General features: G+C 47.7%; 1 protein-coding gene across 12 annotated transcripts in view, besides 5 other annotated features; it reads left to right on the top strand.

Annotated features, from left to right (window-relative positions):
• Nucleotides 1–4,381, top strand: part of AXIN2 (axin 2) — a 33,086-nt gene extending 28,705 nt beyond the window's left edge. For all 12 annotated transcript variants that reach the window (XM_047436872.1, XM_047436870.1, NM_001363813.1 and 9 more), the window contains one exon: nt 2,842–4,381. In XM_047436872.1, coding sequence (XP_047292828.1) covers nt 2,842–2,968 — 127 coding nt within the window. In that variant the 3' untranslated portion in view covers nt 2,969–4,381. The remainder of the gene's footprint in view (nt 1–2,841) is intronic.
• Nucleotides 862–1,374: an enhancer, noted in NCBI's record as "H3K4me1 hESC enhancer chr17:63527688-63528200 (GRCh37/hg19 assembly coordinates)". NCBI's record gives its function as "activates a minimal SCP1, AML or CMV promoter by ChIP-STARR-seq in primed H9 embryonic stem cells {active_cell/tissue: H9 hESC(primed)}" and the evidence as "EXISTENCE:reporter gene assay evidence [ECO:0000049][PMID:30033119]".
• Nucleotides 1,889–2,401: an enhancer, noted in NCBI's record as "NANOG-H3K27ac-H3K4me1 hESC enhancer chr17:63526661-63527173 (GRCh37/hg19 assembly coordinates)". NCBI's record gives its function as "activates a minimal SCP1, AML or CMV promoter by ChIP-STARR-seq in naive H9 embryonic stem cells {active_cell/tissue: H9 hESC(naive)}" and the evidence as "EXISTENCE:reporter gene assay evidence [ECO:0000049][PMID:30033119]".
• Nucleotides 2,402–2,916: an enhancer, noted in NCBI's record as "H3K27ac-H3K4me1 hESC enhancer chr17:63526146-63526660 (GRCh37/hg19 assembly coordinates)". NCBI's record gives its function as "activates a minimal SCP1, AML or CMV promoter by ChIP-STARR-seq in naive H9 embryonic stem cells {active_cell/tissue: H9 hESC(naive)}" and the evidence as "EXISTENCE:reporter gene assay evidence [ECO:0000049][PMID:30033119]".
• Nucleotides 4,739–5,033: an enhancer, noted in NCBI's record as "tiled region #3713; HepG2 Activating DNase matched - State 14:Gen5'". NCBI's record gives its function as "activates a minimal TATA promoter and a strong SV40 promoter by Sharpr-MPRA in HepG2 cells {active_cell/tissue: HepG2}" and the evidence as "EXISTENCE:reporter gene assay evidence [ECO:0000049][PMID:27701403]".
• Nucleotides 8,630–9,130: an enhancer, noted in NCBI's record as "H3K4me1 hESC enhancer chr17:63519932-63520432 (GRCh37/hg19 assembly coordinates)". NCBI's record gives its function as "activates a minimal SCP1, AML or CMV promoter by ChIP-STARR-seq in primed H9 embryonic stem cells {active_cell/tissue: H9 hESC(primed)}" and the evidence as "EXISTENCE:reporter gene assay evidence [ECO:0000049][PMID:30033119]".

The raw sequence follows: 22,114 nt of genomic DNA, 5'->3' as shown, positions 1-22,114 counted from the left end.
GGTTTAGGGCTCCAGGCTGGGACAAGGGTGAGACAGGGGCACCCTAGTTTAAGGAGGTGCTCACTCTGGGGTCTACACCCAAGACAGAGTTCCAACTCCTCAGCTGTGTGCTGTTGTCCCTGTGCCAGGACCACAGTCTATTCCCAGGTGTGAACCCGTTGCCGCCACCAGGGCCAGGGGTGTGAGTGGAAAACTCTGAATAGCACTTGGTAACCTGCCAGGTGGGCATGGGCTCCTGGACGGGGATGAGTCCACCTGCAGGGCTCTGAGACACCCTCCCCTCTAGAGCAGGCCTTGTATAGTTTTACCAGCCACCTTCATCTGGGAGTTAGTTTGGGCGGGGGCTCAAAGTGATTCTCTTTGGAGTGGGGAGGGGATGGAGGTTGGACTGAGCCCCTGGAGGTAACTGGCCAGCAGGGCGTGTTGCTGGGTCTGGATAGTCCCTTTTATACCTGGGCAGAGACAATTGTGAAAAGGTATCAAAGGGGTGGGGGAACAGGCCTGGCTGCTGCTGCTGCTGCTTTTATCTTGAAAAGACACAAGGTGAAACTAATGACACAAGTGTGTCCCTCTGGGGATTCATTTTGATCTTGGCTTTGTCTCGGCTGGACTTCGAGTGGAACTGCAGGTGACCTTGGAGAAGAGCCATGTGGCGCTGGCATAGGCTTGTGGGGAAAGTGCCTCCTTCAGCTGCTGTGGCCACATCTGGCTCTGATTTTTTTTTTTTCTCCCTGAGGCACAGTTAATAAGCCTGGCTTTGAAGCCCTGGCCTCCCCTTTAATGCACAAAGACTTGCACAAATGGTCAACTCTCCGATCCTCTCCAGTTCTTTCCTGAGTGGATCAGGCTGTGGGAAGGCCCTCCCAGCTGCCTTATCTCTGCAGGGCCTGAGCTAGACTCAGTGTCCTCCTGGGGTAGGACAGGGACACAGGGTGTCACGCCTCACCCTCCCAGCAGGGCTGGTGCTTCAACATCTCAATTTGTACAAATACATCCCCCCTTCAAAAAAATAAAAAAGACCCAGTGAGGTTGGGGCCGTGGAGCAGGGGTGGGAGGTGGGGGGGACCTGGGATGCGTTGAGTAATCTCAACATGGCAGGGGTTCAAAAAGCAAACAGTCCCTTCAGACGCGCCAGACGCTGTTGGTGCCAGATGTCAGAAGAAAGCAAAGTTTGCCACATGAAGCATGTTGCAGTGGAAAAGCCTGTTTCTTGGAGAAAATGAGGGCAGTGCAGTGTGTTTGAAGTCCTGGGGGTGGGGCTGAGAGAATGTGGCCTCTCTCCTCTCTGGAGGAGGTTGCAATTATGTAAAAGGTCGCTGCGTGTTTGCTCAGACATGCTGTGAAAGCCCAACTTGGTAAACCCTGGAGGGGTCGGAGCTGGGGCCAAAGGGGTCTGACGGAGGGTGGCGTTGGGATTTGAGCCTCTTATGTGGAGAAGTGACTTTTCCCCCCACTGTCCTGAGTCTCCTGTGCACAGAGCCCCTCCCCATTTTCTCACTGTCTCCTCTCACGCTCCCCCGAGAATTTTGACCCCTTGACATGACGTGTCTTCAGTGCTGCCTAGTCAGAGCCATGCCGTTGTTCACCCCACTGCATTAGCTGGGTCAGGAATGCTAAAAACAAAGAACCTTGACTAAACCCAGCTGTTCACTGTATTTAGCCTTATCTCCTACGAAAGTATTTGGCTTGCCTTTATTAAAGAGGGAAAAAATTGAGCTCTAACCAAGGGGAGTTAATTTTTTTTTTTTTAAAGGGAAAAGACAAAGCCCAACCATAACCCTGAGACACAATTAAATGCTTGAAAGGTTCTCCCATCCCCCCAGGGGACTGTGACCTTCCCTCTGTGAGTGGCCTTTATGGGCTGGAAATGACAGCTTGCAGGGGCAAGTTTAATCCCTCTGAGGGGTCTCCCTTGGCTGGGGACAGGGAAGGAAGAGGCCCTTGCTTAATTTCCTCGGAAGGGGTTTAGGGGTGGGCCTGGCCCAAGAGGACAGCAGTTGTTTCCGAATGTGGCACTCCTGAGAGGCCAGGCATTTGCATCTGTACAATTAAACAGCCTCAGAAGAAAGAACGCTGGGGAGGGATGAAAGGAGCCTTTAATCAACGGGCATAATAGAAGGGCCTTTGGTGTTTGACCCTGGAGGGATGGGATGGGAGAAGAGGCCTGGAAATGGGGAGAAGAGGGGAGGGCATCATGGGGCCAGTGCCGTCTGTTCGGCCCTGGGAAGCTGCGCTGGGCTGGCTTGCCTCCTGTGTGGCTGTGCCAGGGCCATCCAGGAGTGTTGCACTTGGGACCTGGAGGATGGGAAGGCCGAGAGGCCTTTGGACTGCTAAACCATCTGGAAGTCAGCCTTTTACAGACTTCGGCAGGTTCCGGCTCTCCAGGTGTGATGGGTTCAGGATGGCTGAACCTGGAGATAGTCTGGAGTCTCTTTGAAGGACCTGCTTGGCTCCTGCTGCAAAGGAACTGCAGGCATTTGTCCTTCCCTTCCCTCCCCCACCCCACTGCTGAAAAAGGTTGGCGGGGGGAAAGCAGCTCTGCTTTTCACAGTGTATACGTGTCAGGAGACAGCAGAGGTGCTGGGTTGAAGATTGCAGGTGGCAGGCCCAGCCCAGGCTGCTGCTCAGTGGGTGCCTGGCCTTCATCATCTCGGCCCACCTGCTTCTTGTGGTGTGGCCAGTCCCAGCTGCCGTCTTAAAGCAGATGTGCGCAACAGTGTACAGGCACACCTGCCATAGCAAATTCCTAGGATACCTCAGTCCTCCATGTTGGTATGCTTTTCTTTTCAACAATGTGGAAAATGCAGTTTACCAAGAAGCTTTTTTGGTTTTCCTTTTAAGGTATTACTTCAAAAAAGCAAGCGATGAGTTTGCCTGTGGAGCGGTGTTTGAGGAGATCTGGGAGGATGAGACGGTGCTCCCGATGTATGAAGGCCGGATTCTGGGCAAAGTGGAGCGGATCGATTGAGCCCTGGGGTCTGGCTTTGGTGAACTGTTGGAGCCCGAAGCTCTTGTGAACTGTCTTGGCTGTGAGCAACTGCGACAAAACATTTTGAAGGAAAATTAAACCAATGAAGAAGACAAAGTCTAAGGAAGAATCGGCCAGTGGGCCTTCGGGAGGGCGGGGGGAGGTTGATTTTCATGATTCATGAGCTGGGTACTGACTGAGATAAGAAAAGCCTGAACTATTTATTAAAAACATGACCACTCTTGGCTATTGAAGATGCTGCCTGTATTTGAGAGACTGCCATACATAATATATGACTTCCTAGGGATCTGAAATCCATAAACTAAGAGAAACTGTGTATAGCTTACCTGAACAGGAATCCTTACTGATATTTATAGAACAGTTGATTTCCCCCATCCCCAGTTTATGGATATGCTGCTTTAAACTTGGAAGGGGGAGACAGGAAGTTTTAATTGTTCTGACTAAACTTAGGAGTTGAGCTAGGAGTGCGTTCATGGTTTCTTCACTAACAGAGGAATTATGCTTTGCACTACGTCCCTCCAAGTGAAGACAGACTGTTTTAGACAGACTTTTTAAAATGGTGCCCTACCATTGACACATGCAGAAATTGGTGCGTTTTGTTTTTTTTTTTCCTATGCTGCTCTGTTTTGTCTTAAAGGTCTTGAGGGTTGACCATGTTGCGTCATCATCAACATTTTGGGGGTTGTGTTGGATGGGATGATCTGTTGCAGAGGGAGAGGCAGGGAACCCTGCTCCTTCGGGCCCCAGGTTGATCCTGTGACTGAGGCTCCCCCTCATGTAGCCTCCCCAGGCCCAGGGCCCTGAGGCCTGCTAGAATCACTGCCGCTGTGCTTTCGTGGAAATGACAGTTCCTTGTTTTTTTTGTTTCTGTTTTTGTTTTACATTAGTCATTGGACCACAGCCATTCAGGAACTACCCCCTGCCCCACAAAGAAATGAACAGTTGTAGGGAGACCCAGCAGCACCTTTCCTCCACACACCTTCATTTTGATGTTCGGGTTTTTGTGTTAAGTTAATCTGTACATTCTGTTTGCCATTGTTACTTGTACTATACATCTGTATATAGTGTACGGCAAAAGAGTATTAATCCACTATCTCTAGTGCTTGACTTTAAATCAGTACAGTACCTGTACCTGCACGGTCACCCGCTCCGTGTGTCGCCCTATATTGAGGGCTCAAGCTTTCCCTTGTTTTTTGAAAGGGGTTTATGTATAAATATATTTTATGCCTTTTTATTACAAGTCTTGTACTCAATGACTTTTGTCATGACATTTTGTTCTACTTATACTGTAAATTATGCATTATAAAGAGTTCATTTAAGGAAAATTACTTGGTACAATAATTATTGTAATTAAGAGATGTAGCCTTTATTAAAATTTTATATTTTTCAAAACACTGGCCTCGTCTTTGAATCCCCAGGGTGGGAACAGGGCCGAGGGGCCCTTTTGTGTGTAGACATCTGTGCTTGATTTCCTACCTTGCCCAAGCCCGTCTCTGACCTTGAGCCCTGACCTGATCTGGACCCACCTGGAGGTTTTGTAAAGCCATTTATTCAAATCACCTGGCTACTGGCTGAGGCTTTTCTTGCCTTGGAGCAGGCTGTAGATGACATCTCCTTTGGGGGTCCTCTTCCCTGTAACACCTCCATTCAGCCTCTTCCTCCTGGGCAGATTGTCTCCAGTCCGGCCAGGTAGGTGCAGGGGACCAGGGGATGAGAGGAGGCCCTCCCAGGAGTTTCAACAGGTGTCTCCGACATGAAAGCCGTTCAGCAGATGGTTTCATAGACCTGGAATGTCCACGTGGGGCCAATGGACTTAGAGATCAAAGCTAGCCAGGCACCCTCCCCATTCTGGGAGCTGATCAACAAGGCTGACTATTAATCCTATCAGTATTTTATCGTGAGCCATCAGGCTCAGGGCCGGTCAGGTGTCGGGAACATAGCAAGGAGGTGGTTCAGGAGGAGGCGACACAGGCAGCTTCTGCACCGCTCGGTGGACAGGTGTGCTTATGTGGCCAAGGACCTCGGCAGGCAGTTGCCCGCTCAACAAACGTGCCCTCCCTGTATCCTGAGCACTTGGCCTGCATGCCAGGCCATACTTTAGATCTGGGAAAGCAGGTCTTTTTAGTGGAGTCCTAGGAAGAACCCTTTTTAAAAACAGAGGATCTGTAACTGCAGTTGGACTTGACTTCTTGTGTGCTGAGTTTTCATGAAATGAACTCGGTGGTCTGCAGTGGATCTGCTTGGCTTGTTCTTCCTGCTGCCAACTGGCGTCAGGCCGGCAGCATAGAGAAAGGCCAGGGTTCTGGCCATGCGGGGTAGGGATGGACTCGAACCCAGTAGCCTCGGAGTGGTGGCAGTAGTAGGAGTTGTCAAGGCTGCTGGGAGAGTCCTGAGTTACCCTCTGAGAAGGCGAGGATGTGAGGGCATCTGGCAAGAGGCTGGAGGAGCTCTGATGCCTTGAACTTGTCCCTAACCATGCAGGTGCTGTGCCCTCCCCTCCTGGCTGGAATGGGGGTTCATACCAGGGTGTCCAACACTTTCCGAATTGTAAACTTCTTTCCAAGACAAAAGGATGAAGAGATGCAACCTATTGTGTGTGGTGAAGATTGGGGTTTGTGGATGGCTTTTCATCTCTATCTTCAGGCCTCTTGATTGAGGAGAGTGATGAGGTTGGGGCTTGGGCCTCAGACAAACTGGACTGAAGGCCCAGCACCACCACCCTCTGGGTGCCATGAGCGGGTTTCTGGCATCTTCTAAGGTGCATTTGTGAGAGAGAACTGGACTAGTTGATCACTCATGTTTCTATCTCCTGTTTTCATTCTTTTTTTTTTTTTTTTTTTTTTTGAGACAAAGTCTCACTCTGTCATCCAGACTGGAGTGCAATGGCGCAATCTCGGCTCACTGCAACCTCCACCTCCTGGATTCAAGCGATTCTCAGGCCTCGGCCTCCTGATTAGCTGGGATTACAGGCGCCCACCACTACGGCTGGCTAATCTTTGTATTTTTTTAGTAGAGATGGGGTTTTGCTATGTTGCCCAGGCTGGTCTCAAACTCCTGAGACCTCCCAAAAGTGCTAGGATTACAGACATGAGCCACTGCACCTGGCCCCTGTTTTCATCTTTAAACTTTTTTTTTTTTTTTTTTTTTGGAGGCAAGAGTCTTGCTCTGTTGCCCAGGCTGGAATGCAGTGGCACAATCTCAGCTCGCTGCAACCTCCGCTTCCTGGGTTCAAGCGATTCCCGTGCCTCAATCTCCCAAGTAGCTGGGATTACAGGCATGTGCCACCACATCGGCTAATTTTTGTATTTTTAGTAAAGACTGGGTTTCGCCATGTTGGCCAGGCTGGTCTTGAACTCCTGGCCTCAAGTGAATCTTGCCCTCCTCGGCCTCCCAAAGTGCTGGGATTACAGGAGTGAGCCATCGCACCCGGCCCCTCTTAAACTTTTAAGTATACAATACAGTATTGTTAACCATAGGGACAGTGTTGCACAGAAGATTTCTGGAACTTATTTATCTTGCATAATTGAGACTTTACGCACATTGACCAGCAACTCATTACCCCCTCACTCCAGCCCCTGACAACCACCATTTGGCTCTCTAATTCTGCAAAGTTGACTTAGATACCTATATAACTGGAATCCTGCAGTATTTGTCAATCCGTGCCTGGCTTATTTCATTTAGCACAATGTGCTGTAGGTTCATCCGTGTTGTCACAAATGACAGGATTTTACTCTTTTTTTTAAGGCTGAATAGTATTCCATTGTGTATTTATATTACATTTTCTTTATCCACGAATCCATCGATGGACACTTAGGTCATTTCCACATCTTGGCTATTGTGAATAATGCTGCAATAAAAAAGGAAGTGCCAATATCTCTTCAAGACCTTGATCATCTCTATTTTTTTTTTTTTTTGAGATGGAGTCTCACTCTGTCGCCTAGGCTGGAGTGCAATGGACTGCAACCTCCACCTCCTGGGGTCAAGTGATTCTCCTGCCTTAGCCTCCCGAGTAGCTGGGATTACAGGCGCCCGCCACCATGCCCATCTAATTTTTTGTATTTTTAGTAGAGATGGGGTTTTGCCATGTTGGCCAGGCTGTTCTTGAACTCCTGGCCTCAAGTATTTCACCTGCCTTGGCCTCCCAAAGTGCTGGGATTACAGGCGTGAGCCACCACACCTGGCAAGAACTTGATTTCAATGATTTTTGATAAATACCCAGAAGTGGAATTGCTGAATCATATGGCGGCTCTATTTTAAATGTTTTGAGCAATCTCCGAAGTGTTTTCCACAGTGGTTGCACCACTTTGCATTCCCACCAACAGTATACAAGAGTTCCAATCTCTCCACATCCTCATCAACACTCGTTTTTTTGTGATAATAGCCATCCTAATAGGTATGAGATGATACCTCATCATGATTTTGATTTGCATTTCCCTGATGGTTAGTGACACTGAGCATCTTTTCAAATACATGTTGGCCATTTGTGTGTCTTTGGAGAAATGTCTTTTTTTTTTTTTTTTTTTTTTTTTTTTGAGATGGAGTCTTGCTCAGACACCCAGGCTGGAGTCCACTGGTGTGATCTTGGCTCACTGCAACCACTGTCTCCCAGGTTCAAGCGATTCTCCTGTCTCAGCCTCCTGAGTAGCTGGGATTACAGGCATCTGCCATCATGCCCGGCTAATTTTTGTATTTTAGTAGAGACGGGGTTTCACCATGTTGGCCAGGCTGGTCTTGAACTCCTGACCTCAGGTGATTCCCCCACCTCGGCCTCTCAATCCTGTGCTAGGATTACAGGCATGAGCCACCGCCCCCGGCCGAGAAATGTCTATTAAAGTCTTTAACCCGTTTAAAGATTGGGTTATCCTAGCACTTTGGGGGCCAAAGTTGGGGGATCGCTTGAGCCCAGGAGCTCAAGACCAGACTGGGCAACACAGTGAGACTCCATCTCCAATTAAAAAAAAAAAGATTGGGCTATTAGATTTCTTGTTATTGAATTGTAGGAGCTCTTATATATTTTGGAACTGTATATTTCTGCCTGTTCTAAGAGGGGCCCATTTTTGTGCTTCTCTGTCATATTAACACTTAGGGCCTCCTAATCCCATGTGGATGTGCTTCTGGGAGTTGAGAGCCCTTGAAACTGTTCACAGTATCACCTGCGCATGCCTTCCTCTGAGGCAAGGGTCTATATTTTTTATGTGATTCTTAAAGGGATTTGTGCCTCCAGAGAAAATGCTAAAACCCATGGCTTGGGCTGTCAGCTTCTCTATTCCTTGTCCCCAAATAATTTAAGACCCAACTCTTCCAGAAACCTTTCCCTCCCTCCCCCAGGCTCTTGCTAGTGTGGTCTGAGGACCATGGAGTGGACTCACGTGGGAGCCTGAGAGAGGCAGAGGCTCACCCCATTCCATTGGCTAGACGGGACCTGCGTGTTTCCCGCCTCTCCAGGGGACTCATGTGCACACCAGCGTCCTGTTGCCTTAATCCCCCCCGATCTTCCTGTTTTTCATCTCTAGCTTCAAATCACATAACTTCGCCTTCACTTCCTGGGCTTTTCCCTATGTTGCTGCCTTATTTATCTGATTAATTCTTAACCAGATGATCAGAGGTCAAGAGCAGGCTGTGGGTCGGGCAGACCTGGGTTTGAGTCCACTCGCAGCTGGGCCGCGTAGGGAGCCATGGTTTCCTCGTTTGTTCAATGAGGATAATACGTGAGTCCTCTGTCTAGAGTGGCTGTGATAGTGACATGGGTGAGGGTCTCACCCACTTGTTACCATTTGCTCCTCGTGTGGAATCCACCCTCACAGCCTTCCTGCTGTACCACCTGGGGGCTGCCGTCTGCTCTCTTGCCCAAGGCAGTGGGAGAGTGGGTTTGCAGCTTGCTTTATTTGGAAACAGACTTGCTGCTGGAGGCAGCCTTTGGCCACAAAGCATCTGTAAATTTTTCTTTATCAAGCCCAGGGCCTTACAGTACTTGGAAATTCTCTATGGGCTCGCAGCCAGGATGGCAGTTTGTGTGAAAGAGTCTGAAATGTTGGATTTTGGGGGGAAAATCCCATTTTATTCTCCCCACTCTAGAAAATTTTAGGGTCATCATCATGCTGTCAAAAAGAAGGAAATTGGCAATTACCCCCGAGAAAATATTACAGTCTACTTGAATAATCAGGTAAAGTTGTTTTTGTTTTAGGGTTTAGAAAAATGTTCCTCTCCCTTTTTTTTTTTACCTTTAGTAGATAATGTAGTTGTATAGAAACACCCCAAATTACACAGAAGGATCAAAAGAATGCTTTACGTCCTTCTTAGTGGTTATTATCTCACTTTCTCAACTGTATTTCTTAGAAATCTGATATGAGTAGACTCTACTCCATGATTTGTCTCAGGAAGTGGGTAGTGGTGACTTGGTTTAAAAACAAACACAAACAACCACCACCAGCAAAAAAAAAAAAAAAAAAAAAAAAGCTTTTTTTTTTTTTTTTTTTTTTTGAGAGTTTTGCTCTATCTCCCAGGCTGGAGTGCAGTGGCATGATCATGGCTCATTGCAGCCTCAACCTCCTGGGCTCAAGCGATCCTCCCAACTCACCTCAGCCTCCTGAGTAGCTGGGACTACAGATGCACACCTGGCTAATTTTTGGAGAAAAAAAAGAAAGGCATTTTGATAAATGTTGTCTATTACCAGAATTATCCCAGGGAGCAGGCCGCCTGCTTGGTACAGTCTCTGGGCCCAAACAGGGAGAATCGGTATAGGACCTTAGGTCTGGCAGCTCAGGAGACGTGTGTGTAGGGAGTGTTTTAGAAGGGTCTGCCTCAGGTAGAACCACGGCCCCTGAACAGGGCCTCCTCCACCTCATCCAATGCCTAGTTTTGAAAACAAATCCTCTGTGCTCCCTCCAGGCTGACCTTCTTGTTCCCCTAAACCAGGGGTCCCCAGCCCCTGGGCTGCAGACCTGTACTGGGCTGTGGCCTTTTAGGAACCAGGCTACACAGTAGGAGGTGAGCGGCGGGCTAGGGAGCATGACTGTCTGAGCTCTGCCTCCTGTCAGATCAGCGGTGACATTAGATCGCCACAGGAGTGCAAACTGTGTGTGAACTGCGTATGCGAGGGATCTAGGTTGTGTGCTCCTTATGAGAATCTAATGCTTTGATGATCTGAGGTGGAACAGTTTCATCCCCAAACCATCTCTCCCACGCCGCCCTCGTCCATGGAAAAATTGTCTTCCACGAAACCAGTCCCTGGTGCCAAAAAGGTTGGGGTCCACTGCCCTAAAGTGACCTGCTGCTCAGGAGCTTTGTGTATGCAGCCCCTCTGCTGGGCACGCACCCTCCTTTACCCTTTCCTACGTTTGTCTCCTTTTAGCCTTCAGGTTTTGTCTCGAATGTCAGAGGTCTTCTCTGACTATGGGATCCATGTGTGTGACCGTCTGATCCTCTCCATTGCAGAACTTCCTTCATTCATTTCCCTGCATTCTAATTTGTAACGAAATTGTGATTATTTAATTGCATACTTATTTATCCATGAGACAGGGAGTAAATATATTTTGTTTGTTTGTTTGTTTTTTGAGACGGAGTCTCACTCTGTTGCCCAGGCTGGAGTGCAGTGGCGTGATCTTGGCTCACTGCAAGCTCCACCACCCAGGTTCATGCCATTCTCCTGCCTCAGCCTCCCCAGTAGCTGGGACTACAGGCACCTGCCACCATACCCAGCTAATTTTTTGTATTTTTAGTAGAGACGGGGTTTCATCATGTTAGCCAGGATGGTCTCGATCTCCTGACCTTGTGATCCACCCACCTCAGCCTCCCAAAGTGCTGGGATTACAGGCATGAGCCATTGCGCCCGGCCTCTGTCGACTCTTTAAACAAAATTCAAAGTGCCAGGTTCTCTGTATTAATTTACTTTCTGTTTAAAATACTGTATTCATTTCCTAGGGCTGCTGTAGCAAAGTACCACAAATTGGAAGGCTTAGAACAACAGAAATATATTGTCTCACAGTTCTGGAGGCTGGAAATCTGAGGTCAAGGTATCAACAGGGCCATGGTCCCTCTGAAACCTCGGGGAGAAGAAGCCTTCCTTACTTCTTTCAGCTTCTGGTAGCCCCAAACATTTGTTGGCTTGTGGCAGCACAACTCCAGTCTTCACGTGGCCTTCTCCCTGCATCCCTCCACACAGTTGTCTCTCTGGACATGTCTGTGTCCAAATCAAATCAAATTTCCCTCCTTTTTTTTTTTTTTTTTTTTTTTTGAGATGGAGTTTCTCTCTTTCGCCTAGGCTGGAGTGCAATGGCACGATCTTGGCTCACTGCAACCTCCGCCTCCCGGGTTCAAGTGATTCTCCTGCCTCAGCCTCCCTAGTAGTTGGGATTACAGGTGCCTGCCACCACGCCCAGCTAATTTTTTGTCTTTTTAGTAGGGACAGGGTTTCACCATGTTGACCAGGCTGGTCTCAAACTCCTGACCTCAGGCGATCCACCTGCCTCAGCCTCCCAAAGTGCTGGGATTACAGGTGTGAGCGACTGCACCTGGCTTCTTCTTCTTCTTCCTCTTCCTCTTCTTCTTCTTCTTTTTTTTTTTTTTAGACAGAGTTTCACTCTTGTTGCCCAGGCTGGAGAGCAATGGTGCTGCCTTGGCTCACTGCAACCTCCGCCTCCTGGGTTCAAGCGATTCTCCTGCCTCAGCCTTCTGAGTAGCTAGGATTATAGGCATGTGCCACCATGCCCAGCTAATATTGTGTTTTTAGTAGAGATGGGATTTCACCACGTTGGCCAGGCTGGTCTCGAACTCGTGACCTCAGGTAATCCACTTGCCACGGCCTCCCAAAGTGCTGGGATTACAGGTGTGAGCCACCAGGCCTGGCCTCATCTTAACTTGATTACATCTGCAAAGACCTTATTTCCAAATCAGGCCACATTCTGAGGTACCGGGAGTTAGGACCTCACCATATCTTTTTGGGTGGACACAATTCAACCCATAACAGTGATCTAGAGTGCTGTCTATCTCTGGACTGATGAAATTATCACAGCTGTCATTTTCTCCATCCTAACAGAAAAAGAAAAGGACAGCTTTTCAAAAAACAAAACTTTAAGCATCACTTCCAGGAGAAACTTACATTATCACGTGCAAGACATCAGCACTCCTCCCTGCAAATTGTCTCAGTAACTACATTTCCCCTGCCTACCTCCCTTCACAAACCTGAGCGGGCTAAGCCAGATTTTCTTGGACTTACTCTCTCCTGACTACTACACACAGCTCTAGTTTTCATTTCTACCCAGCCTGGGCCAAACTGGAAAATCCAAGTTGCCTGTCTTTGCCCAGCTGAAGATGAAGATAGGATCTGAGCCTTTCCCTCTATGCTCATGGAAGACAAAACAGGATGAAAAGCAGTAGATATGCCGGGCGCAGTGGCTCACGCCTATAATCCCAGCACTTTGGGAGGCCGCGGCGGGTGGATCACGAGGTCAGGAGATCGAGACCATCCTGGCTAACATGGTGAAACCCCGTCTCTACTAAAAATACAAAAAATTAGGCAGAGCTTGCAGTGAGCTGCGATCACGCCACTGCACTCCAGCCTGGGCAACAGAGCGAGACTCCGTCTCAAAAAAAAAAGAAAAAAAAAAAAAGAAAAGCAGGAGATGCAATGGTTCCTCCAAAAACCATCTCAGTTACCAGGATATAAAACTCTGCAGTAGGTCATTGGGAGAAACTATGAAATCTCTGTCTCCAAAGATTTCCAGGGAGATAATATAAAGCACTGAAAGCATTGAATCTTCCGTGGCTTTTGGACCACTGGCCTGGAGGCTGTGTCTTCCACTAGCTGTCAAAATCTCTTTTCCTCTGGGATTCCGAGTCTGGCACAGGCCTGTGAGTGTGAGTCCACCATGTTTTTTCCAAGGGAAGGAATTAACTACTGGGTTGCTTGAGGGTGGGAGTGGTCTTATTGACTCTTGGGGAGGGTTTCCTGTCCTGGCTGGGACCTTTGTTTGTAAATTAAGTCTCAAATCCCATCCCCAATCAGGCAATGGGTGCGTGGGTGTCTAGTTCCACTAGGGTAAAGTCATTTGTGATCATCAATTTATAAATGATTTGTGGATCATTGTTGAGCCCTTGGCGGGCTGAAGACAGCAAGAAGCAATTAGTCTTCTGATCTACATGGTTTGTCAACATAAAAGGTTTGGGCTGACACGTCCTCCAGATGACACCCATTTCTTGGCATGGCTGAGTTGGCCACAAGGCCTTTGTTGTTCATTCATCCTGCCTGAAGAAGCCCAGGAGGTGAGAGGAGGGGGAGGGATCCAAGCTTGGGGAGGGTCACAGCTGCTGGACATCTGAGTCCTATTTCATCAGCAGCAGCCGGGCTCAGTGGGAACCATTGCTAGGGCTTCCTGGCCCAGCCTCAGCTGGGAGAAGCAGGGCCCCCTCCCAACCTCACTTTAGGGAATAGGACTGCTTCAGCCACTGCTTCCAGGCAGCCAGAGGCCAATTATCCAGACTGAGGGATACCCAGGGTGAGAAGCAGAGACACAGCGAGAAAATAAAATAAATGGAAAAGTGGATTATGATCGTGAAAGATTGGCTTATACAGCATTTGATAGGAACAGTTTCAGGATGTTTTCCCCCCTTCAATTTGTATTTTTCCTGATCACAAAAATAAATAGTCATGGTAGAAAATTTGGAAAACACATAGAATTATGAAAAAGACAAAGAAATTCAACTGTAATCCCCACTACCCGGAGATACCATCTGATAACATTTTGGTTTATTTCCTTTCAATAGATGACATCTTCTCTTGACCAAATAAAGCGTTCTGAGCATCTCATAATTTTTCAGGATAAATTTCTCCATGTGTGAAGACTTTCGTTGCTTCAAGCAGAGTTTGTGGACATTTCTGCAAACCACCTCCACCCCCATCTAGAACTGCTTTGATGCCTCGACTTTTTCTAACAAGAGGCATAGCATAGCCTCTCCCACTTGGAGGCAGGAGGTAGGCTGAGCCCAGGATAGGCTACTGACTCCCCAGGAATTGTATCATTGACTTCCGGACTGGGACAGAATTTGGCTTGGAGTTCTTGCCGCCTTGCCCTGCCCCCTTACCTATTGGGAGGTCCTGCTCCTTGGTCACCTGCTCGGCTTGTCTACTACTTGCCTGGTTCCATTGCTCCACACCTTCCACCTTTGTACAAGATCTGATGAGATCTTGTTTCTGATCCTAGTTTGTCTCTACCCTTTCATCCCTAACACACAGTGTCTTCCCAGCCACCTCCCTCTAAGAATCTCCATAAATGGCACCAGTAAGATTTGTTCTTGCAGTGGTTATCTGTTGTTTTAGCTGGCCCAACATCCATGTTTTCACCTCCTGATGTTAACATCTTGGTATTCCTTTGGGGAGCACCCTTCGGCTGCAAAGATGCTCATATGATCTGGCCAATTAGTAGAGCTTATCATTTTGGCTACTGTGATTGGTCCAGGGAGGGACATGTGACTTAAGTTGTTCCAATGAGAGTCACACCTGGGACTTGTGCCATGAATTCAGAGAATGCGGTGCTCTCTCCCTGTTGAAGTTTCTGAAATGGGATAACCAAATCCTTAGGCTTCTGGGGGCCATGGTATGAAAGGCTCCTATTTTGGGATTGAAGCCACTAAGAAGGAAATAGGAGCCACAAGATGGCAGGGTGGGGGTAAAGAAAAAGATCCACTAAGTCCTATGACTTTACTTGGGTCCTTAGATTCAACTGCTCTGAAAGCCCAGCCTTGGGAGTCAATAAATCCTGTCATCTTTTTTTTTCTTCCTCTTCAGTCAATTTGTCTTGGGTTTTTGTCATGGCCAACGCAAATAATTCTGACTAATAATATGGCTCCTGTCCTAGGGGTTGGGGGGGATCTATTCTCAAGGCCAATTTGGATGTCAGGGAGCCCAAGTTCCTGGACATTCAGGTGCATACACCACATGGGGAGAGATGGTTAGAGAGGGGGAATGGGCCACTTTGGAATACAAGACGGGAGTGACGAAGAGATGCTCCAAGTTCCAGTCACAGAGGATGCCATGTTGAGATGCTCATAAACAAAGCATAGGGTATATAGCGGCCATTTTAAAAAGTGCTTCTTGGGACCTAAGCCTCTTTGGTAGTCTTCTGCACATCACTGTCATTGCCAGCATCACCAGCACCTGCTGAGGACTACCATGGGCCTGTGCTGGGTGTGGAGGGGGTGGTAGGGGTGGGGAAACAGGCCATGAAAATGTGGTCCCCAACCCAGAGGAGCACCTGATTGAGAGATCATGATTCATTGGAGAAGTTGCTTGAATAGCCTGGCATGGTGGCTCATGCCTGTAATCCCAATACTTTGGGAGGCTGAGGTGGGTGGATTGTTTGAATCTAGGAGTTAGTGAGTCTAGTCTCTAGGAGTCTAGGAGTCTAGCAAGGAGTCTAGGAGTCTAGTGAGACCTCATCTCAAAAAAAAAAAGTTGGCGGGCTCACTGGTTCACACCTGTAATCGCAGCACTTTGGGAGGCTAAGGCTGGTGGATCACCTGAGGTCAGGAGTTGGAGACCAGCCTGGCCAACATGGTGAAACCTCGTTTCTACTAAAAATACCAAAAATTAGCCGAGTGTGGTGGTGGGTGTCTGTAACCCCAGCCTGAGGAAGGAGAATCTCTTGACCTGGGAGGCGGAGGTTGTAGTGAGCTGAGATTGAGCCACCGCACTCCAGCAACAGAGCGAGACTCCATCTTGGGGAAAAAAAAAAAAGTTGCTTGAATAAAACTTGTCTGAACATCCAGAGGAAGGTCACTGCTGAGCTGAGACTTCGGGGGTCCTGGGGGTGGTCAGGAGGACAGTGGAAGGGTAATTCAGGGAGAGAGAGCAGTTTGGGCAAGGGCAAGAAGGTGGGAAAGAAGTGAGAGTTGAGGCTATAAGGGCAAAGCAGGTGGTGAGGGGCTGCCCTGGACTTTTCCAGGTTGGGGCTTTACCCAGACGAAGGGTGGGAGTCAGATCTGTTCTGGGAGAAGCAGACCCTGGTGGAGGCGTGGAAGACAGAGAGGAAAGAAACCAATAGCCACAGCTGCCACCTTAACAGTTTTTCACTCCCCCTCCTCCCCCATTTTCTCCCTCCTCCCACACCTCTCCCTCACCCCTCTCCCTGCTCCTTCCTTTCTTTCTCTCCCCTTTCCCTGCCCCCCCTTCACCCATTCTCTGCCTTCCGCATCTCTCTTCCTCATTCTTCTTTCCCCTTCTTTCGTCTCCCCCCTGCTCCTTTTACCCTCCCTTCCTCCACCCTCTGCCCTGTCTTCCTGCCCCGCTTCTGCCTCCTTAGGGGCATAATCCCCCTGGGAGGGGAGTAGAACCTGCTCCCTGACCTCCGGCAGCCACAGTCTCTGACAAGCTTATTTTGGCCAAAAGAAGATGCCCCCGCCGCCCCCATCCCCAGCCCTAGGAAGGGAGGCCCTGAGACAGGAGAGCCCGGGGTGGGCCAGGGTTGCTGCCAGCCAAGAAGGGCAGTGAGGATTGAGCTGACTTGCTTGTTATTATTTTTCTCCCCTGGGGGCCATCAGCATAGACTTCTGGGCTTGGAGTCTTTATAGATTCTCACTCCCTTGGCAACACAGCGCTCCTGTCCAACCTGGAGTATTTAATTACCAAGGAAAAGAATGATTTTTTTTTTCCCTGAGAATCCATTTAATTATTTGATTGCACAGTAACCAAAGAGTGTGAGAGGCCTGTAGCCAGAAGGGACTTCAAAGCATTACCTTGATGTTGCTGAGTGGGGCATTAATGGGTTCTGAAGGCAGGAGATTGCTAAAGAGAGGGAAAGTATTCAAAGCGCCTCGCAATCCTGCCAGCAATCTCGAAAAATGCATAAACACTGGAATGCTCCGTCGGAGAGGGAAGGAGAGTTCAAAGGGACTGGGAGAGTTTTCATGTAAAGTTTAGAGTTTAAGGCGTGACTGTTGGCTATGGAGACTCAGCGTTTGAACTCTTGTTTATTAAAAACAGTTTCCCAGCCATTCAGCGGGTTCCCAAAGACAAGAGAAATGCAGACTTTTGCAGGGAAGAAGGTTGAAAGGCTTCATTGATTCCTACCTAGGGTTTTCCCCGCCTGCTCTTTTGTGCTTGTTTGCTGTCTTTTCTTTTCTTTTTTAATTTATTATTATTTTTTTGATCAAGTTTTAAAAGTCCCACTATCAGAGGGAGGAGGCCGCAGAGAGAGGTCTCCTCCCCGAGCCCCACCCAGGAGAGCAGGTTGCCCTGCCCCGCTGTTGGCTGTTGTGCTGGGAGGCTGGGGACTGCGCTGGTGATGCTTCCACCTCCAGGTTCTTTAGAGGCAAAGGCTGTGGGCTGGATTCTGGGCCCAGCTCTGGCTTGCTCAGAGGGTCTCCTGGCTGTGGGGTTCTCCACTTCTCTCTGCTCTTCCTTGTTTGCCTGGGGTAATGGAGGCAGCTTAGGCTCTCCTACATACGCCCTCAGATGGGGCTCAGAGAAGGCCTTCAACTTTCCAGGTCTCATTTCCAAGCCCAGGGACACGGGCTGGTATCTTGTAGTGACCCAACACTGTTCCTAAAATCCCATTTGACAGATGGTTTAGCTGGGCGCAGTGGCTCACGCCTGTAATCCCAGCACTTTGGGAGGCCGAGGTGAGCAGATCACTTGCGGTCAGGAGTTCGAGACCAGCCTGGCCAACATGGTGAAACCCTATCTCTACTAAAAATACAAAAATTAGCCAAGCATGGTGGTGTGCACCTGTAATCCCAGCTACTTGGGAGGCTGAGGTGGGAGAATTGCTTGAACCTGGGAGGTGGAGGTTGCGGTGAGCCGAGATCATACCACTGCACTGCAGTCCAGGTGACAGAGTGAAACTCCATCTCAAAAAAAAAAAAAAAAAAAGGTGGTTTAAATAAAATCCATAGAGGAACCCTCAAGCCACAGAACTGTCTCTGGCTCCCAGCTCTCTCCCAAGCGTCAGCAAAAGCTGAGCCACACTTGGATATCTGGTTGAGCTCCTTGTTCCCCATATCAGGAAGAAGTCAACTTTGCCTCACAGGTCAGTCTGGCCCCCAGAAAATGAGAGACAGTTCAGGGCAGAGCCACTTCTCATGGGCAACTCTGGCCTCTGGGAAATGTTTCTCTCCATCCACCCTGACCTTGCCAGCTTGGAGAAGCAGCCAGGAAGTAAGGGGCAAGAAGCGCTGGGCAGGATGCCTCAGCCCTGCCTGGCACTCACGCTGGGGCCCTTAAGCAAAACGCCTCTGTCTTCTCCAGCTTGTTGCAGGATGACGAATATCTGAAGCACATCACACAGGGACTGTGGCCAAACCCTCCCTGAATTAGGGCTTCTCTGTCCTTCCTTTGAGAACGTGGCTAAGGTCTCACCCAACTCTATACTCTCATTCACCTTTATTCTATGTGAAGAACAGGTTTTTAAACTAAATATTTTGTTTTGTTTAACCAGAAGCCCCCAGGCTACATTACAATTTTTTATTAAAATACTGTATGGAACCTATCCAGGCTCCCCACCCACACCCCCTTGGCTTTTTTTCATGGGAAGATGGATCGTCAGGGCAATTCCAACTGTCTTCATGACATAAGAGGAAAAAAATCACCAATTTCAAACCACAACGTTCATGTTCACACCCACGTGCATTCTCTCTTCCATATGAATTTCACTTCTCTCTGAGTCAGAGGCAGTGATGTGCCGGCAAACACTTCACGCCTGGCTCTCCAGGGGAACAAGCCCTGATGTGTCACATTTGCCAATTTCCATGGTGTAAAGACTTCCACCATGGTCGATTTCCAACTACCAACTTGAGGTCACTAAACTGGGAGTTTGGAAGAGAAGACCACGATCAGCTCTCAGAAGCCAGTGTGAGCTCATTCCAACTCACGACTGAGAAGGACTCCAAAACTGGTGAGTTTCTGAGAGGATTCTGATAGAAGCTGCCTTCTCTTCACAGTACCCTCATTCCAAAAGACTGCATCCTAGCTAAAAGGCTAAATAGTCTTTTGGCTTTATTTATTTATTTATTTTTGAGACAGAGTCTCACTCTGTTGCCCAGGATGGAGGGCAGTGGCATGATCTCAGTTCACTGCAACCTCTGCCTCCCAGGTTCAAGCGATTCTCCTGCCTCAGCCTCCCGAGTAGCTGGGATTACAGGTGCGCACCACCACACCTGGCTAATTTTGTATTTTTAGTGGAGACCTGGTTTCACCATGTTGGCCAGGCTGGTTTTGAACTCCTGATCTCAGGTGATCTGCCCACCTCGGCCTCCCAAGGTGCTGGGTTTACAGGCGTGAGCCACTGTGCCTGGCCTTTTGGCTTTATTAAACCATCAATGGATGTAGAAATAAAAGCATAAAGAATGTGTCATTGAGGCACGGGTTATTAACACTCGTTTTATCCTTTCTTTGTACCAGGCACCATGCAAATAGCACATGTGCAAATGGCTGTGTGTGTCTCCATACACACACATGTGTATGTATGTAATAATATGATACTATAATACTATTGGCTGACAGGGAGGTTTCTTTGTTCTTGCTACTCTGTTGGTTCCACTCTCCTCAAATTCCTATTAGAAAACATGGATTCAATTTTGTGGGATGTGTGGGGTTTCCCAATTTCTGTACCTAAGGTCTCATCCAATAAAGAAAATAGCTTCACTACTGAGATGTTTGCTCAGGCTAATTTACAAGGTAGTTAACTGATGGATGGGAATGACAAAAAAAAAAAAAAGTATTTTGAAGTAGCATTCAGAGTAATTTTTCTTTCTTTTCTTTTTTTTTTTTTTTTTTTTGAGACAGAGTCTCACTCTGTCACCCAGGCTGGAGTGCAGTGGCACAATCTCGGCTCACTGCAAGCTCCGCCTCCCAGGTTCACACCATTCTCCTGTCTCAGCCTCCCGAGTAGCTGGGACTACAGGCACCCGCCACCATGCCCAGCTAATGTTATATTTTTGGTAGAGACAGGGTTTCTCCGTGTTTGTCAGTGTGATCTCGAACTCCTGATCTCAGATGATCCACCTGCCTCGGCCTTCCAAAGTGCTGGGATTACAGGCATGAGCCACCATGCCCGGCCAGGGTCATTTTTCTAAAAGTCAATTTTTCCAAGGTATAATTTGTGTAAAATGAAATGCTTCCCTTTTACCACAACCAAGACCTAAAACATTTTCTCCACTCACATGCCCCTTTGCGATCAACCCTCACTTTCCCACCCCCAGCCAGTGGCAATCACCAACCTTTTTTCTGTCACTATAGATTAGTTTTGTCCAGGGTTTCTCAGCCTTGGCACTATTGACATTTTGGGTCAGTAGTGGATAATTTGGATAATTCTTTGCTGTGGGGGTCTGTCATGTACATTAAAGGATGTTTAGCGCATCCCTGGCCTCCTTTCACCAGATGTCAGTAGCTTATCCCAACTCGTGACAACCAAAAATATTTCTAGACATTTCCAAATGTCCCTCGGAGGCCAAAATCATCCACTGTTAAGAAGTCTAGAATTTCCTATGAATGGATCATTTAGCACCTACTCTCTCATGTCTGGCTTCTTCTTCTTCTTCTTTTCTTTTCTTTTTTTTTTTTTTTTTTTGAGATGGAGTCTCACCCTGTTGCCCAGGCTGGAGTGCAAAGGCGCAATCTCAGCTCACTGCAACCTGCACCTGCTGGGTTCAAGTGATTCTCCTGCCTCAGCCTCCTGAGTAGCTGGGATTACAGGTTCACGCCACCACGCCCGGCTAATTTTTTGTATCTCTAGTAGAAATGAGGTTCACCATGTTGGCCAGGCTGGTCTCAAGCTCCTGACCTCATGATCTGCCCACCTCGGCCTCCCAAAGTGCTGGGATTACAGGCGCGAGCCACCGCCCCCAGCCTCATGTCTGGCTTCTTTTGCTCAGCATAGTTTTGGGATTTATTGTATACGTAAATAGTTTGTTTCTTTTTATTGCTGGTTATTAGTCCCTTGCATGATTATACCATACATAACATGTTTACCTGTTGATGGACATTTGGGTTGTTTCAAATTTGGGGATATTATGAGTAAGTCTACTACTTCAGACTTATTCATCCATTGGGATGTTCAGTGGGGCCAGGTGTGGTGGCTCACACCTGTAGTCCTAGCACTTCGGTAGGTTGAAGTGGGTGGATTGGTTGAGCTCAGGAGTTCAAGACCAGCCTGGGCAACGTGGCAAAGCCCCATCTCTACAAAAAATACAAAAGTTAGCTAGATGTGGTGTGGTCCATGCCTGTAGTCCCAGCTACTCGGGAGGCTGAGGTGGGAGAAAAACTCGGGCCTGGGGAAGTTGAGGCTGCAGTGAGCAGAGCGGAGAGTGTGCCATTGCATTCCAGCCTGGGGGACAGAGTGAGCCCGTCTTAAAAAAAAAAAAGAAGATTCTCAGTAAATGCCCAATAAGCATCTGTTTACAAGTCTGGATGGCCATATGTTTTCACTTCTCTTAAAAGTGAAATCATTGGTTTGTATGTAAGTATATGTCTATAAGAAACTGCCAAACTGTTTCCCAAAGTGATTGTATCATTTTATATTTCCACTAACAATATGTGCAAATGTATGAGATTCCCAGTTGTCCCACATCTGCTCTAAGGTTTGATAAATCTTTTTAATTTTAAACATTCTAGTGTCTATGTAGTGTAGTGCATCTCATTGCAGTTCTGTGATGACTAATGACATTGATCACCTTTTTGTGTGCTGTTGGTTGTTAGTATGTCTTCTTTTGGGAAATGTCTGACCACATCTTTTACTTATTTTAAAAATTGGGTCTTTATTTTATTTTTGAGGTATAAGAGTTCTTTGTATATCTTGGTACGTCTTTTGTCAGATATTTGTATTTCAATTTTTTACCAGTCTTTGTCTTTTATAATTATTTAATGATGTCTTCAAAGAGTGGATATTTTTAATTTTGATGAAGTCTGATTTATCCACCCATTTTTCTTCTTTTCCATAGTGCTTTCTGTATCCTTTCTAAAAAATCTTTGCCTGTGCCAAGATCAAAAAGATGTTTGCCTATTTTTCCTCCAGAATTCTTTGTGGTATTAGATTTTACAAAGTTTAGCTCTATGCTTGAAGTTGGGTTAATTTTTGTCTATGGTGTGAGGTAAGATTCAGGGTTCATTTTTTTCTCATGTGTATGTTCAGTTTTTCC

This window comes from Homo sapiens, chromosome 17 (assembly GCF_000001405.40).
Source record: "Homo sapiens chromosome 17, GRCh38.p14 Primary Assembly".
Classification (NCBI taxonomy): Eukaryota; Metazoa; Chordata; class Mammalia; order Primates; family Hominidae; genus Homo; species Homo sapiens.
The sequence above is the reverse complement of the archived record's forward strand: the minus strand, read 5'-3'. Positions and strand labels throughout refer to the sequence as shown.